Source organism: Homo sapiens, chromosome 22 (assembly GCF_000001405.40).
Source record: "Homo sapiens chromosome 22, GRCh38.p14 Primary Assembly".
NCBI lineage: Eukaryota > Metazoa > Chordata > Mammalia > Primates > Hominidae > Homo > Homo sapiens.
Genome location: NC_000022.11, coordinates 29,954,543 through 29,968,582, shown reverse-complemented (window position 1 = coordinate 29,968,582; position 14,040 = coordinate 29,954,543). Strand labels below are relative to the sequence as shown.

The window sequence follows — 14,040 nt, the reverse complement described above, 5'->3', positions numbered from 1 at the left end:
ACTTTAGATAGGAAGGTAAAGATGTGCAAAAAGGCACTTATTGGAATTAAAAAGGAGAAGGGCAAAGGCAGAGAAAATTTGAGGGTATGAACTTATTAAAAGAACGGGATACTGTTATAAAGAACCTTTTCAAAAAAGAAACATACTGAATTACTTTTAAAAAACTGTCCTAATATTACACAAAAGATATTTGTGTTTTAGAATAAAATTTCTAAAGATAGCATCATTGACACATTCAAACTGCTGTATCTTAAACAATTTAAATGGAAGTGAATTTAATGCATTTTGCAAAACTATTAAATAACAAAATATAACTCCAGTGAGGAAGATACTAATGTCAGATGTAGATGGAATGTGAAGGTGAAACCCCCATACACTGCCGGCAGGAATGTAAAGTGGTACAACCTCTGAGGAAAAGTGTGGCAGTTCCCAAAAAAGTTTAGAGTCATCATATGTCCCATCAGTTCCACTCCTGGGTATATACCTAAGAGAACTGACAAGGTATGTCCACATAAAAACTTCTACACAAATTTTCGTAACAGCATTATTCATGATGGCCAAAAGTGCAAACAACCCAAATATGCATCAATCAATGAATGGACAAACAAAATGTGAATGGATAAACAAACAAAAAATACACACACACACACACACACACACACACAGTATATATAATGGAGTTATCCAGCAATAAAATGGAATAAAATACTGATACATGACACACATAGATGAAAACATTATGCTAAATGAGAGAACCTGGGGCACAAAAGGCCATATATTGTGTGATTCCATTTGTATGAGATGTCCAGAAAAGGTAAATCCACAGAGACAGAAAGTAGATTAGTGGTTGCCAGGAGCCAGGTTGAGGGAAGAATAGGGAGTGACTGCTAATGGGTACAAGGTACCTTTGCAGGGTGATGAAATGTTTGGAATTAGGTAATGGTAATGGTTCTACAGCTTTATGACTATACTAAAAACCACTGAATTGTATACTTTAAAAGGGTGGATTTTATGTGATATGACTTATAGCTCAAAAAAAAAAAAATACAGAAGCCATGTGCAGTGGCTCACTCTTATAATCCTAGCAATTTGGGAGGCCAGGACAGGAAGACAGCTTGAGCCCCAGAGTTCAACGCCAGCCTGGGCAACATAGCAAGACTGTCTCTACTGAAAAAAAAAAAAAATTAGGTGGTTGTGCACACCTGTAGTCCTAGCCACTTGGGAGGCTGATGTGGAAGGATCCCTTGAGCTCAGGAGTTCAAGGCTGCAGTGAGCTTATGCTACTGCACTCCAGCCTGAGTGACAGAGCAAGACCTTGTCTCTAAAAAACATGCGCGCGCGCGCGCATGCACACACACACACACACACACACACACACACACACACACAACAGAGGTGAAGAGTAACAATATAATCAAACTCTTCATAAGATAAAAATAAACGCTGCAAAAAAGTTACAGTATCAACCCAGCAGCAATGAGCATTCTAAGCCCCTAGACTGTGGTCCCTAAAGACTAATTCCCACTTCAAAAGAAGATGGGGCACCTGAAAGAAAATATAACCAATTCCAGGTCTAGAAAAGAAAATGTACAATTTGATTCTGAAACATCATATTAAACTGGAATGTAAGAAACATATAAAAGACTACTGAGGGTAAGTCAGAAATAATTGGGAGTCAATTTGAAGAGACTCACTAGCTAAAAATGAAATAATTTGAGCAAAATGGTTAAATGCAATGGATTGGGTTTCAGGATGTTTAAATATGAGTTCATAAAGAAACATTCTCTCTCTCACACACACACAGAGACAGACACACACACACACACACACACACACACACACACACACACACACACGCACACCCCTACAGGTCACCAGTGGAAGATGTTAAGGAACTAACCTTTTATTTTTGAAAACTAGCAAGTAAGGGGAAAGAATCAAGTATCTATCCCGCCTTTCTTACACAAAATGAACTAGTATAGAATGAAGTAGTTGATGAGGGAAGAATTCTACCTAATATACAAAGAAAAGAATTTGATAATACTATTTTACAACTGCTAATGAAATACAAGATGCAAATAATAATCTAGTCTATGGAAAACTACAGGAAAATAACCCCTATTCTTTAAATAGCAAGACAAAAGACCGACATAGAAGGGAAACCTACAGAATTAAGAGAGACTTAAGTGACCATGTCAACCAACTGCAATATATAGATCTTATTTGGATTCTTATTCAAAGTATAAGCTGAGACATCTATTAGGGAAATCTGACCACATACTAAATATCTGATGATATTAAGGAGTTATTAATTTTCTATATAATTGACAATGTTACTGTGGTTATAGGTTTTTGTGTGTGGTGATGGGTTTTTAAAAAGAATTTATCTTTTAACTATAAAATACATAAAGTTATATACCAAGGAGTAGGCAGAATGAGTAGGAGTACCTCTGAAACAAGATGGGTCATGAGTTGGTAACTTTTGAAGACCAGTGAGATAAGTTAATGGAGATTTATTAAACTATTTTCTCTACTTTTATATATTTGAAATTTTCACATAAAGTTTTTTTAACCATAATGGCAATTCTACCTCAAAACCTCCAGTTATTGAAGAATTAATTTAAAGAGTCAAAGTTTTATCTCTCATGAAACCACTGTTTATACAGTAAGCCTATCAATATGCACTGTTACGTCTTTCAGATTTTTTTCAGAGAAATCTGAAAAAACTCTCACAAGCATCCCGGATGTCCCAACTAAAATGTACTCATCTGTAGTGACACTGAACTAGAAATCAAATTCCAATTACAAAATAAACTCTCAATCTGCAGTCACATTATATATATATACATAAGCTATCTTCCCAGTCAAATCTAATTTGTTTTGTTTTGTTTTGTTTTTGAGACAGAGTCTCGCTCTATCGCTCAGGCTGGAGTGCAGTGGTGCGATCTCAGCTCACTGCAACCTCTGCCTCCCGGATTCAAGTGATTCTGGTGTCTCAGCCTCTCAAGTAGCTGGGATTACAGGCATATGCCACCATGCCTGGCTAATTTTTGTATTTTTAGTAGAGACAGGGTTTCACCATGTTGATCAGGCTGGTCTCAAATTTCTGGCCTCAAGTGATCTGCCTGCCTTGGCCTCCCAAAGTGTGTGAGCCACCACACCTGGCCTACTCTAATTTTTTAATGAGTACAGAAATACCAAGACAAAGATTTGCCACTCGGCATTAAAAGTCTCAATTTAAACATAGTCTTCACCCAGAAATAAGGCCTTCCATTTCTATACCAAATAGATTCTGTAAAATGATGTTCTTTCTGCACTGCAGTCAGTCAAAATTTACCAATAATCTAGTATGTGTTAGACAGTATGACACTGTTAGCTCTGCATTAATACAACTTATATACCATCGCAGAAGACAGAAAAAGATGGTAATAATTACAAATTGTGCTAAATGTGATAAAGGAAACAAACGGGATGCTGAGACAGGGACTGGGGTTTGGGGGTACCGAAGACCTACTTTAGATAAAGTGATCAGAAAAGACTACTTGGTGGGGCAAGGCCAGTTTCTAATATACGGAAGTGCATGTGTTCCTCAGACAGGAAAGACCTTGATAATTTTGAAGAACTAAAAGGAGGAAACCATTGTAGCTAAACTGTACCGAATCAGAAAGAAGAGTGGCACAACTTGAAGTTGGAGAAATGTAAAGGAAAAGATCATGTGAATAGTAGTAAGTTTAAAATACAGTCCAAATACAACAGGGAGCCATTGACAGGTTTTAAATAGCAGAGTGACGTGATTTGATTTTAAGATCACCCTGGTTGATGTGGGGTGAATGGATTAAAAGAGAAAAAGAATAAAGAAGAGAACCAGGAGACAATTACAGTAAGAGACTAGTGGCTTGATTTAGAATGGAGGCAGTACGGATAAAAGCCTAAGTATGTGAAAGATATCCTGGTGTGTAACTCACAGGTTTAGGTAGAGGCCTAGATGTGGCAGCAAAGGGAGATTAAAGAACTTACAGTCCAGAGGAGACAAGAAATAGTTAAAATAGTTCAAAGTAAGAGGTGCTGCTTTAAGTATCTGAGAAAAGTTAAAACTGCTATAGGAATTCCAAATCCATAAGAAAAAGCCAAGATCACAGGAAACTGTGCAACCCATCAGAATCAAGTACTTGCTAAAGGTTCCTTTTAAAACTAGAAAGAGCATTAGACCACTCTGGGTATTATGTAAAATAACAAACAAACAAACAAACAAAAAACACTACAAATCGCAGATGTGACCAATCCTTAGGAAATATTCAGGGTTCATTACAGCACCTGACTTGTAAAATGTGAACCCCACAGTGGTAGTTATACCAACAGTACAAAAGGAAGAAATTGAGTCATTACTGTTAGTCTGATAAGCAGTGTAATACTTCTTAAAATTAGATATACGAGTAATGCATGCACTCAGTAAATAAGATACAGATGTAAAAAGTAAACAAGTAACCTCATACTCTGCTAGTGAGAATGTAAAATAGTGCAGCCTCTTTGAAAAATAGCCTGGCAGTTGCTCAATTAAACACAGAGTTACCATTTGACTCAACAATCTTACTCCTAGGTATATATCCAAGAAAACAAAAACATGTCCATGTAAAATCTTGCAAATACATGTTTATAGCAGATTTATTCAAAGTAGCCCAAAGGTGGGATGGGCTATTTTGAAGCACGTATTAGTACTTCATTCCTCTTTTTTTTTTTTTCCACTACAGGGTCTCACTCTCACCCAGGCTACTGGTGTGCAGTGGCGTGAAGATCTAGGCTCACTGAAACCAAATGTCCATCAACAGATGGATGAATAAACAGAATGTGGCATATCTAAACAATGGCAAATTATTTGGCCATAGAAAGGAATTAAGTGGGCTGGGCACAGTGGCTCACACCTGTAATCCCAGCATTTTGGGAGGCTGAAGAGGGCAGATCACAAGGTCAAGAGATCGAGACCATCCCGGCCAACGGTGAAACCCCATCTCTACTAAAAGTACAAAAATTAGCTGGGCATGGCAGTGCATGCCTATAGTCCCAGCTACTTGGGAGGCTGACGCAGGAGAATCACTTGAACCCGAGAGACAGAGGTTGCAGTGAGCCGAGATCGCACCATTGCCCTCCAGCCTGGTGACAGAGCAAGACTCATCTCAAAAAAAAAAAAAAAAAGGAATTAAGTGGCCAGACACAGTGGCTCATGCCTATAATCCCAACACTTTGAAAAGATGTAGTCAGCACACTGCTTTTACCCAGGTGTTTGAGACCAGCCTGGGCAATATGGTGAAACCCCACCTCTACAAAAAACACAAAAATTGAGCCAGGCATGGTGGCTCATGCCTGTAATCCCAGCACTTTGGGAAGTCCAGGGAGGTGGATCACTCAAGGCCAGGAGTTCGGGACCAGCCCGGGCAACATGGCAAAACACCATCTCTATAAAATAATAATAAAAGAAAAAAAGATAAAAAATACAAAAACTAGCTGGACGTGCTGGCATGTGCCTGTAGTCCCAGCTACTCGGGAGGCTGAAAGTGGGAGGATCACTTGAGCCCAGGATGCAGTGGCGAGGTTTCAGTGAGCCCAGATCTTCATGCCACGGCACACCAGAAGCCTAGGCAACAGAGTGAGACCCTGTCTCAAAAAAAAAAAAAAAAGAAAAAAGAGAGAAAGGAATGAAGTACTGATACATGCTTCAACGTGAATGAACCTTAAAAACATTATGCTAAATGATGAAGCGAGTCACAAAAGACCACATATTGTTATGATATCATTTATATGAAATGTCCAGAACAGGAAAATCTTAGAAAGCAGATTAGTGGGTGCCAGGAGCTGGGAAAGACCGACGGTAAGAGAGGTTGACAGCTATGAAGTTCTGTTTTGTTTTGGAGACAGGGTCTTGCTCTGCTGCCCAGGCTGGAGTTGCAGTGCTGTAATCACAGGATCATGGTTCACGGCGGCCTCAACCTCCTGGGCTCCAGCGATCTTCCTGCCTCAGCCTCCAGAGTAGCCAGGACCACAGGTGCAAGCCACCACACCCGGCTATTTTTATTTTTGTGGGGGGAAAAGGGGAGGCTCACACCATGTTGTCCAGGCTGGTCTCAAATTCCCAACCTCAAACAATCCTCTCACCTTGGCCTCCCAAACTGCTGGGATTACAGTCATTAGCCACCACACCTGGCCTGAAGTTTCTGAGGTGAGGAAAAGGTCCTAAAATGGACTGTGGTGATGGCTACACAACTTCGTGAATATACTGAGCCACTGAACTGTACACTTTAAATGGGTGAATTGTATAGTATGTGAATTTTATGTTATTAATATATCTGAGTTAAACTTATTTAAAAAAAATTGGTAAGCAGAAGTTCGCTTTTCACTCCTTACTGCCCTTTAGTTCATCTACATGTAAATATAGCAACTGTTAACTATTTCATAAGTCTATCCAGACAGTTCTCTATGCACATACAGTCAAGCTTCGCTTAACAATGGAGACATGTTTTGAGAAATGCATCATTAGCAGATTTAGCTGTTGTGCAAACATCACAGAGGTATTTATACAAACCTAGATGGGACAGTCTACTACACACCTAGGCTATATGGTATAGCCTGTTGTTCCTAGGCTACAAACCTGCACAGCATGTTACTGTACTGAATACTGTAGGTAACTGTAACACAGTGCTCCCTATTTGTATATCTAAACATACATAAACAGAGAAGATACAGTAAAAATGATACAAAAGATTAAAATGGTACACTTGTATAGGACAACACTTACCATGAATGGTGCTTGTAGGACTGGAAGTTGCTCTGGGTATGTCAGTGAGTAGTGAGTGAATGTGTGAAGGCCTAGGACATTACTGTACACTTCTACAGACTTTATAAACACTATACAACTAGGCTACACTAAGTTTATTTTTAAAAAGTAATTGTACCAAGACATTATGACAACTACAACTCCACTAGGTGATAGTTATTTTTCAGTTCCATTTTAATCTCATGAGGCTACCATCGTATCTTGGGTCTGTTGCTAACCAAAACATCATTATGTGGCACATGAGTGTACAAAGACACACATTATCTACCCCCAAAATGGGTGGGGTGGGGTAGCCATACTGTAGTTTCTTCAGTATATATTCTTTAATTAATATAACAAATCCCTCCTATGTCAGTATATACATATGGCAGTTCAGTATTCCATTATACCCCAATGTATCATAACTTAACCATCCATCAATTAGTGAGACATTTAGGTTGTTTCCATTTTTCCATTGCCACCAAAAAAGCCGCAACAACCACCCTTATCCATATCTATGCACAAGTCGCTATTTCTGTAGCCCTAATTATTCTTAAAAATGAATATACTAGGTAAAAGCATATAAATTTGGGGGAAGGGTTGCAGAGGGGTTATTATTGCCAAAGACTACATACTCTTCTATTTAAAAAAAACACAACACATATTTATCAACTTGCCATAAGTTTTCAATGTTCTGTAATTTTAAAAGTTAAAATAAAAATATGCCTAAGCATTGTCTGTATTAATTCCAAAGTATGTTTATACATACACAAAAAACTATATAATGGTTAACAATCTACCTTCCTAGGGAAGAGAGTGGGAGCAGCAACTTTCAGTTTTTAAACTTTTAAAACATTTGCAATTAGGATAACAAATTTTTCTACAAAAAAAGCTTTTAAACAGAAAACTCAAAATAAGTTTTAATGAAAGGTTTTCATTTAAACTCAGAGTGTTAAGATAATAGCCTCAAGAAAAAACAATCAGGAATGTAAAGCAATGGCCCTCAGGGCTGCCATATACTAACTCTATGACCTTGAGAGCAAATCATACTACCTCTCTGAGCCTCAGTTTCTTCATCGAGAAAACAAGGAGAACAATCATTGCATCAAAGAATTGTGAGAATTAAGATATAATGCATATAACATGCTTAGAATAGTTACTGGCATGTAATAAGCACTTTTTAAATTAGTATGTACATGTACATACATATGACAACACATGGTTATATAAAGACTGTACTTCATTAAATGTTTCATTACAGAGAATTTGGATAGGACAGTTTCCAACACTGTCTCCTTTTTTGTTCGCGCATATGCACGTGCATTTTTTTTGAACCATTTAAAAGAGGCTTGCATACAAATATCTCTTTAATTCTTACTACTTCAGTATGTATTTCCTAAGAAAGATAATCTCTCATATAACCACAGTTCTAGTTTCAATTTCAGAAAATTTAACACTGATATAATAATCTACCATATCTATTCCAATTTTGTCAATGAATCCAATCATATCCTTTATCCTTCACAGCAATATTCCCCCCTTTGGTAAAGGATCTAGTCTGGGATCATATATTGAAGCTATTTTTATATCTCTTTAGTCTCCTTTAATCTGGGGCACATATTAATTAAACAGTATGTTTCCTGGCATCAAAATTAAATACATTTACATCTTTCTCTTCAAACCTAGATCATGCTTCTTCAGATAAGAACGTGGCCAGGGGCAGTGGCTCACACCTGTAAGACCAACACTATGAGAGGCTGAGGCAGGAGGATCACTTGGGCCCAGGAGTTCAAGACCACCCTGAGCAACATAATGAGACCCTAGTCTCCACAAAAATAAAAATAAAAACAAATTAGCCTAGCAAGGTGGTACATGCCCATAGTCCCACCTACTCAGGAGGCTGAGGTGGGAGGATCACTTGAGCCCAGGAGATCGAGGCTGCAGTGACCCATGATCACACCACTGCATTCCAACATGGGCAAGAGTGAGACCTTGTGTCAAAAAAAAAAAAAAAAAAATTAACACTTTTACAAATTTACATTATTATGGCAATACAAATATTAAATGCTACAGAGCCAAGTAATATGTTACTACGTTTCTGGCCAGCACAGTGGCACACATCTGTAATCCCAGCACTTTGGGAGTCTGAGACAGATGGATCACTGGAAATCAGGAGTTCGAGACCAGCCTGGCCAACATAGTGAAACCCCGTCTCTACTAAAAACACAAAAATTAGCCAGGAGTGGTGGAGCATGCCTGTAATCCCAGCTACTCAGGAAGCTGAGGCAGGAGAATTGCTTGAACCCAGCAGGTGGAGGCTGCAGTGAGCTGAGGTCGCGCCACCACACTCCAGCCTGGGTGACAGAACAAGACTCTGTCTCAAAAATAAATACGTAAATAAAATAAAAAGGATTACATTTCCTTCACTACAGATCTAATCTGCAACACTCCCCCACCCCCCTGGCTAAATGAAGATTAAGATTCCTATTCCAAGCCTGAAGGTGAAATAACCTTTCTTTCCTTAATATATGAGAATTTGACAGCTGGAACCTGCATGCTTCTCTCAGCTCCATCATCAGTACCACCCCATGATATGACTTCTCAGAAATCTTTACAGAAGCAAACCAACATTTAATCTTCCTACTGAACATGGAATCTCATCTTTCAGGCACCTGTTAAAGAGAAATTACTCAATTCCTTATCAAAAACTAAAACTTATACTTGCAAAGAATACCTCAAGTAATACACGGAGCAACTTGGACTACAAGGGCACAGATTATATATACCCTATGATCCTCCACTATACAGAAAAGTGGGGAAAAAACAGTAACCTAAATCAACAAGACTATGCTGACCAATCTCTACTAAAACCAATCTATTCTCCTCCCCTATTCTTACCAAAACAAAAACCCTAGTCAAGAAGAATTTATACTGAGAAGGCATTGGTATCCCAGGAGTCTAGGAGTGTTTCTGTGAACTGACAATTCAAATATCAATATAGTTCTTGCCTTCAAGGGCATTCCCAATCCTGTGGGGGTGACCAACAAATATAACTAATAAGACAAGAGTATGTTAAGAGATACAGAAATTTAATTCCATGGTAATGCAAAAAGCAGAGAAAGAGATTCTGAGCTGGGCACTTAAGGAAGACTTTCTGGAAGACTCAAGCTTTTAATAACTGAACCAGCCAAATTTTGAGCCACTGAGACAAGAGGGGAGCAGGAATGGCATGGCGGCAGAGTAAGACAAAAAAGCACCTTGGAGAGTATTTGAGAGACAGGAGGTAGGTCGGTGTGGCTACAAGAGATGAACTTGGTACACAGAGAAAACAGGTGACAAGCTGTTTGAAGCCTACCTGTAAAGAACCTGAAATGTTATGCTAAGGAGTTTGATCCTTGTTCTAGAGGCAATAGCAAGGCAACAGTTCCTGAACAAGGAAATGATCTGGATTTAGGAACTTAAAACCAAGGCAATAACTTGTCTTCTAATAAAACTGTACTACAGTTCCCTAAACAGGTGGCAGAAACAAGAGGCACTAATAAAGATTTACCTAGTAAGAGACACACAAAGGTCTATGAAAAGGACATTTTTTGAAAAAGGACAAGGTTTAGTAGCCACACTGGAGAAAGAACTCGCAAATTTTTCAGAACTTGTTTTTCTCATTAAAATTCATATTTGCACTACAGTAATCCCCTGCCTTATCCTCGGGGAATATGTTCCAAGACCCCCTGTGGATCCCTGAAACTACAGGTAGTACTGAAAACTACATACATATATATATATATAGTTTTTCCTCTACGTATGTACCTATGATTAAGTTTACTTTATAAATTAGAAACAGTGACAGATTAACAACAACTAATAACAAAATAGAACAAGCAACAATACACTATAATGAAAGTCATATGAATGTGTAGTGTCTCTCTTTCTTGCTCTCTTGATATTTTAGTACTTTTGGACCTTGGATAACTGAACCTTGGAAAGCAAAAGAAGGTAAGGGGGAACTGCTGAACTAACTCTAGTAATAAGAGGTCTTATTTTTCATATAGATATATACCAATTTAAGAAAACTCAAAACAAGAAGCAAGTTTGAATTTAAAAGAACTATATCAGCCTGGGCAACAGAACGAGATCCTGTCTCTACAAAAAAAGTTTCCAAACTAGCCAGGCCTGATGGCACACACCTGTAGTCCCAGCAACTGGGAGGCGGAGGCAGGAGGATTGCTGTAGCCCAGGGGTTCAAGGCTGCAGTGAGCTATAATCACCTAACTGTACTCCAGCCTGGGAAACACAGCAAGACTGTCTCAAAAAATATATCAATAAATAAATAAATAAATAAATAAATAAATAAATAAATAAATACAACTGGAGATTGATAAATCTATTTATTTTAGACAAATGATTAGTGCTGCAACTCAAAATCTCAACTTAAATACAAGTTTTCCAGTACACTATTACAGTGCAATTATATATAGAAAAAGTGACCTGGTATGAGTCCTAGTGAAAAAAAAAAATAATCACATGTAAGGACATTAAAGTGAACATAGAAAAACTCATCTAAATAATCATGGACATTGACAAACAGATCCCCAAAAATCAACCTGTAAATTAATTTTTCCTTGCCTCGAAACAGCACAGAGAGAGTATTGGAGGGGGGCGGGGGTGGCAGGAGGGGAGAAACAAACTTACCAAATGAAGTTTGTCCCAAGAACTTTTTCTACTAGGAGGTTTCACAAGGAAGTCTGCAAAAGAAAAAACAGTTATTTTATAATGACAAATATCCTAAGAATCAAGTTAAGCCACTTAGATCTCCCCACAAGACCTTTCTCTACCAGTCATAATGCTATGACAATGAGATTTTTAAATTGGTGCAACATGGAGTATTTAGTCAACCACAGATTTTAGAATGTTTATAACTGCACAGAACAGACCCAGTCAAGCCTTAGCATGCCTTCAGAAATTGCAGAACTGTAGAGAACAGAGCTTTTCAAACCCCACAGAGAGGCTTATTTAAGTTTTTCTCAGTCAAGCAAGCATCATTTCTGGTGGCTTCTTGGGTAAATCGTTGCCAATACAGGAACAGGTACTTTACAAAACTAAAAAGATCACAGACACTCCAGGCTTGGACTTATTTTAAGGTGTTTTGTACACATAATTGGCTTCTATCAAGGGATCTGACCTTTTGTTTAAGAAAAAGGGTAAGGAGAATATGGTAGAAAAACAAAGAATTCAGCCAGGCACGGTAGCTCACACCTGTAATCCCAGCACTTTGGGAGGCCAAGGCAGGCGGATCACTTGAGGTCAGGAGTTAGAGACCAGCCTGGTGAACATGGCAAAACCCCGTCTCTACTAAAAATACAAAAATTAGCTGGGTGTGGTGGCATGCGCCTGTGATCCCAGCTATTCAGGAGGCTGAGGCAGGACAATTACTTGAACACGAGACGTGGAGGTTTCAGTGAGCCGAGATCACGCCACTGCACTCCAGCCTGGGCAATAAAGTGAGACTCTGTCTCAAAAAAACAAAACAAAAACAAAGAATTCTTGTCACCAGTAGGCAACAATCTGAACTTTACAGAGACAAAACATCTAACCGACCTGTTCCTTTGTGACAATTTCTCTAAAGTTGTGCAAACACGACTCATCCATTTGAGCTGTTTAAATGACATGGAGTCACATAAATGAACAAGATTGCTCAGAATATCAAAACTCTGAAATTAAGAAGTCAAGGCCAGGCGCGGTGGCTCATGCCTGTAATCCCAGCACTTTGGGAGGCCAAGGTGGGTGGATCACCTGAGGTCAAGAGTTCAAGACCAGCCTGGCCAACACAGCGAAACCCCAGCTCTACTAAAAATACAAAAATTAGCTGGGTGTGGTGGGGCACACCTGTAGTCCCAGCTACTCAGGAGGCTGAGGCACAAGAATCACTCAAACCCGGGAGGTGGAGGTTGCAGTGAGCTGAGATTGCGCCACTGCGCTCCAGCCTTGGCGACAGTGTGAGATTCCATCTCAAAAAAGAAAAGAAAAAAAAAGTCAGTAAAATATGGTACATTATTAACTAAGAACCATAAAGGAAAGCTAAATATGCAACAATGAAGTGTCTTAACCATTTTAAACATAATATTTTTGTCTCCCCAATAACTTTTATGTTTTATAACTCAGGCCATATTATTCACACACACTATATGACAATGAAAACAGCTACTCATAATTTGCAACTTCAGAGACGAACTGTATTTAGTATGAAGACCAGTCTTGCTATTAAGTATTTAGTATGAAGACCAGTCTTGCTATTAAGTTGCTTAACTAAGTATTAAATACAACATAGTACAGCAGGAAAGTTGAGGGATTTGTAAATCTGTAGAACCTTTTCCTGCAAGAGTATAATTCTACCTGAGTATTTGCATGAAATATATACTATTACAAATTATTTTCCTTTTTATTTTTCCTTTTTATTAGAGCAAGGACATTATATTGCTTTTTAAAAATTATGTCTGGCCGGGTGCAATGACTCATACCTCTAATCCCAACACTTTGGGAGGCTGAGGCAGGAGGATCACTGGAGCCAGGAGCTCAAGACCAGTCCAGGCAACATGGGAAGACCTCATCTCTATAAAAATTTAAAAAGCTGGGCATAGCAGTACACACCTGTGGTCCTAGCTACTCAGAAGGCTGAGATGGGAGGATGGCTTGGGCCCGGGAGGTCAAGGCTGCAGTGAGCCACAATGGTGCCACTGCACTCCAGCCTGGCCAACAAAGTAAGACCCTAGATTGTCACAAGAACAACAACAACCAACAAAATAATGGAAAAAAAGGAAGCAGAGCAAGTTGTTAAAAATAACTGAAAAATTTTAAGGCTTATGGTAACTAGAAAAAGGATATTATCATTAAGAAATGAAGGGTAGATCCCAATGAAGTTATCGAGCTATGATATGCTGGCTTTAACAGTGACCTCCCAAGTAGATGTACGTCCAACAGGTAAATTGGGGGAGAAATGGTTCAAGAGACAGGTCAAGTCGAAGGGCAAGAATGAATTGATGGTGCTAGATTTAATTCAGGAAAATCACTATATCTGCTGTAAAAGCTATCTGACATGTTCTAAAAATCACGTGATAATTTATTCTGTCAAAAAGATGAGGTATCTTCAGTAATACAGAAGTGTTTGTGTAAAGTTTCCACAGGTGCTGATTAACTTCCAAGAGATGGACCAAACGAGAGATTCAACAGAAAAGGTTCGA

The 14,040-nt window shown here is 38.7% G+C and overlaps 1 protein-coding gene across 3 annotated transcripts in view; it reads right to left on the bottom strand.

Annotated features, from left to right (window-relative positions):
• Positions 1–14,040, bottom strand: part of MTMR3 (myotubularin related protein 3) — a 147,695-nt gene that overhangs the window by 62,286 nt on the left and 71,369 nt on the right. For all 3 annotated transcript variants that reach the window (NM_021090.4, NM_153050.3, NM_153051.3), the window contains exon 2: positions 11,495–11,547. The gene's annotated coding sequence lies outside the window, so the exon portion shown is untranslated. The remainder of the gene's footprint in view (positions 1–11,494; positions 11,548–14,040) is intronic.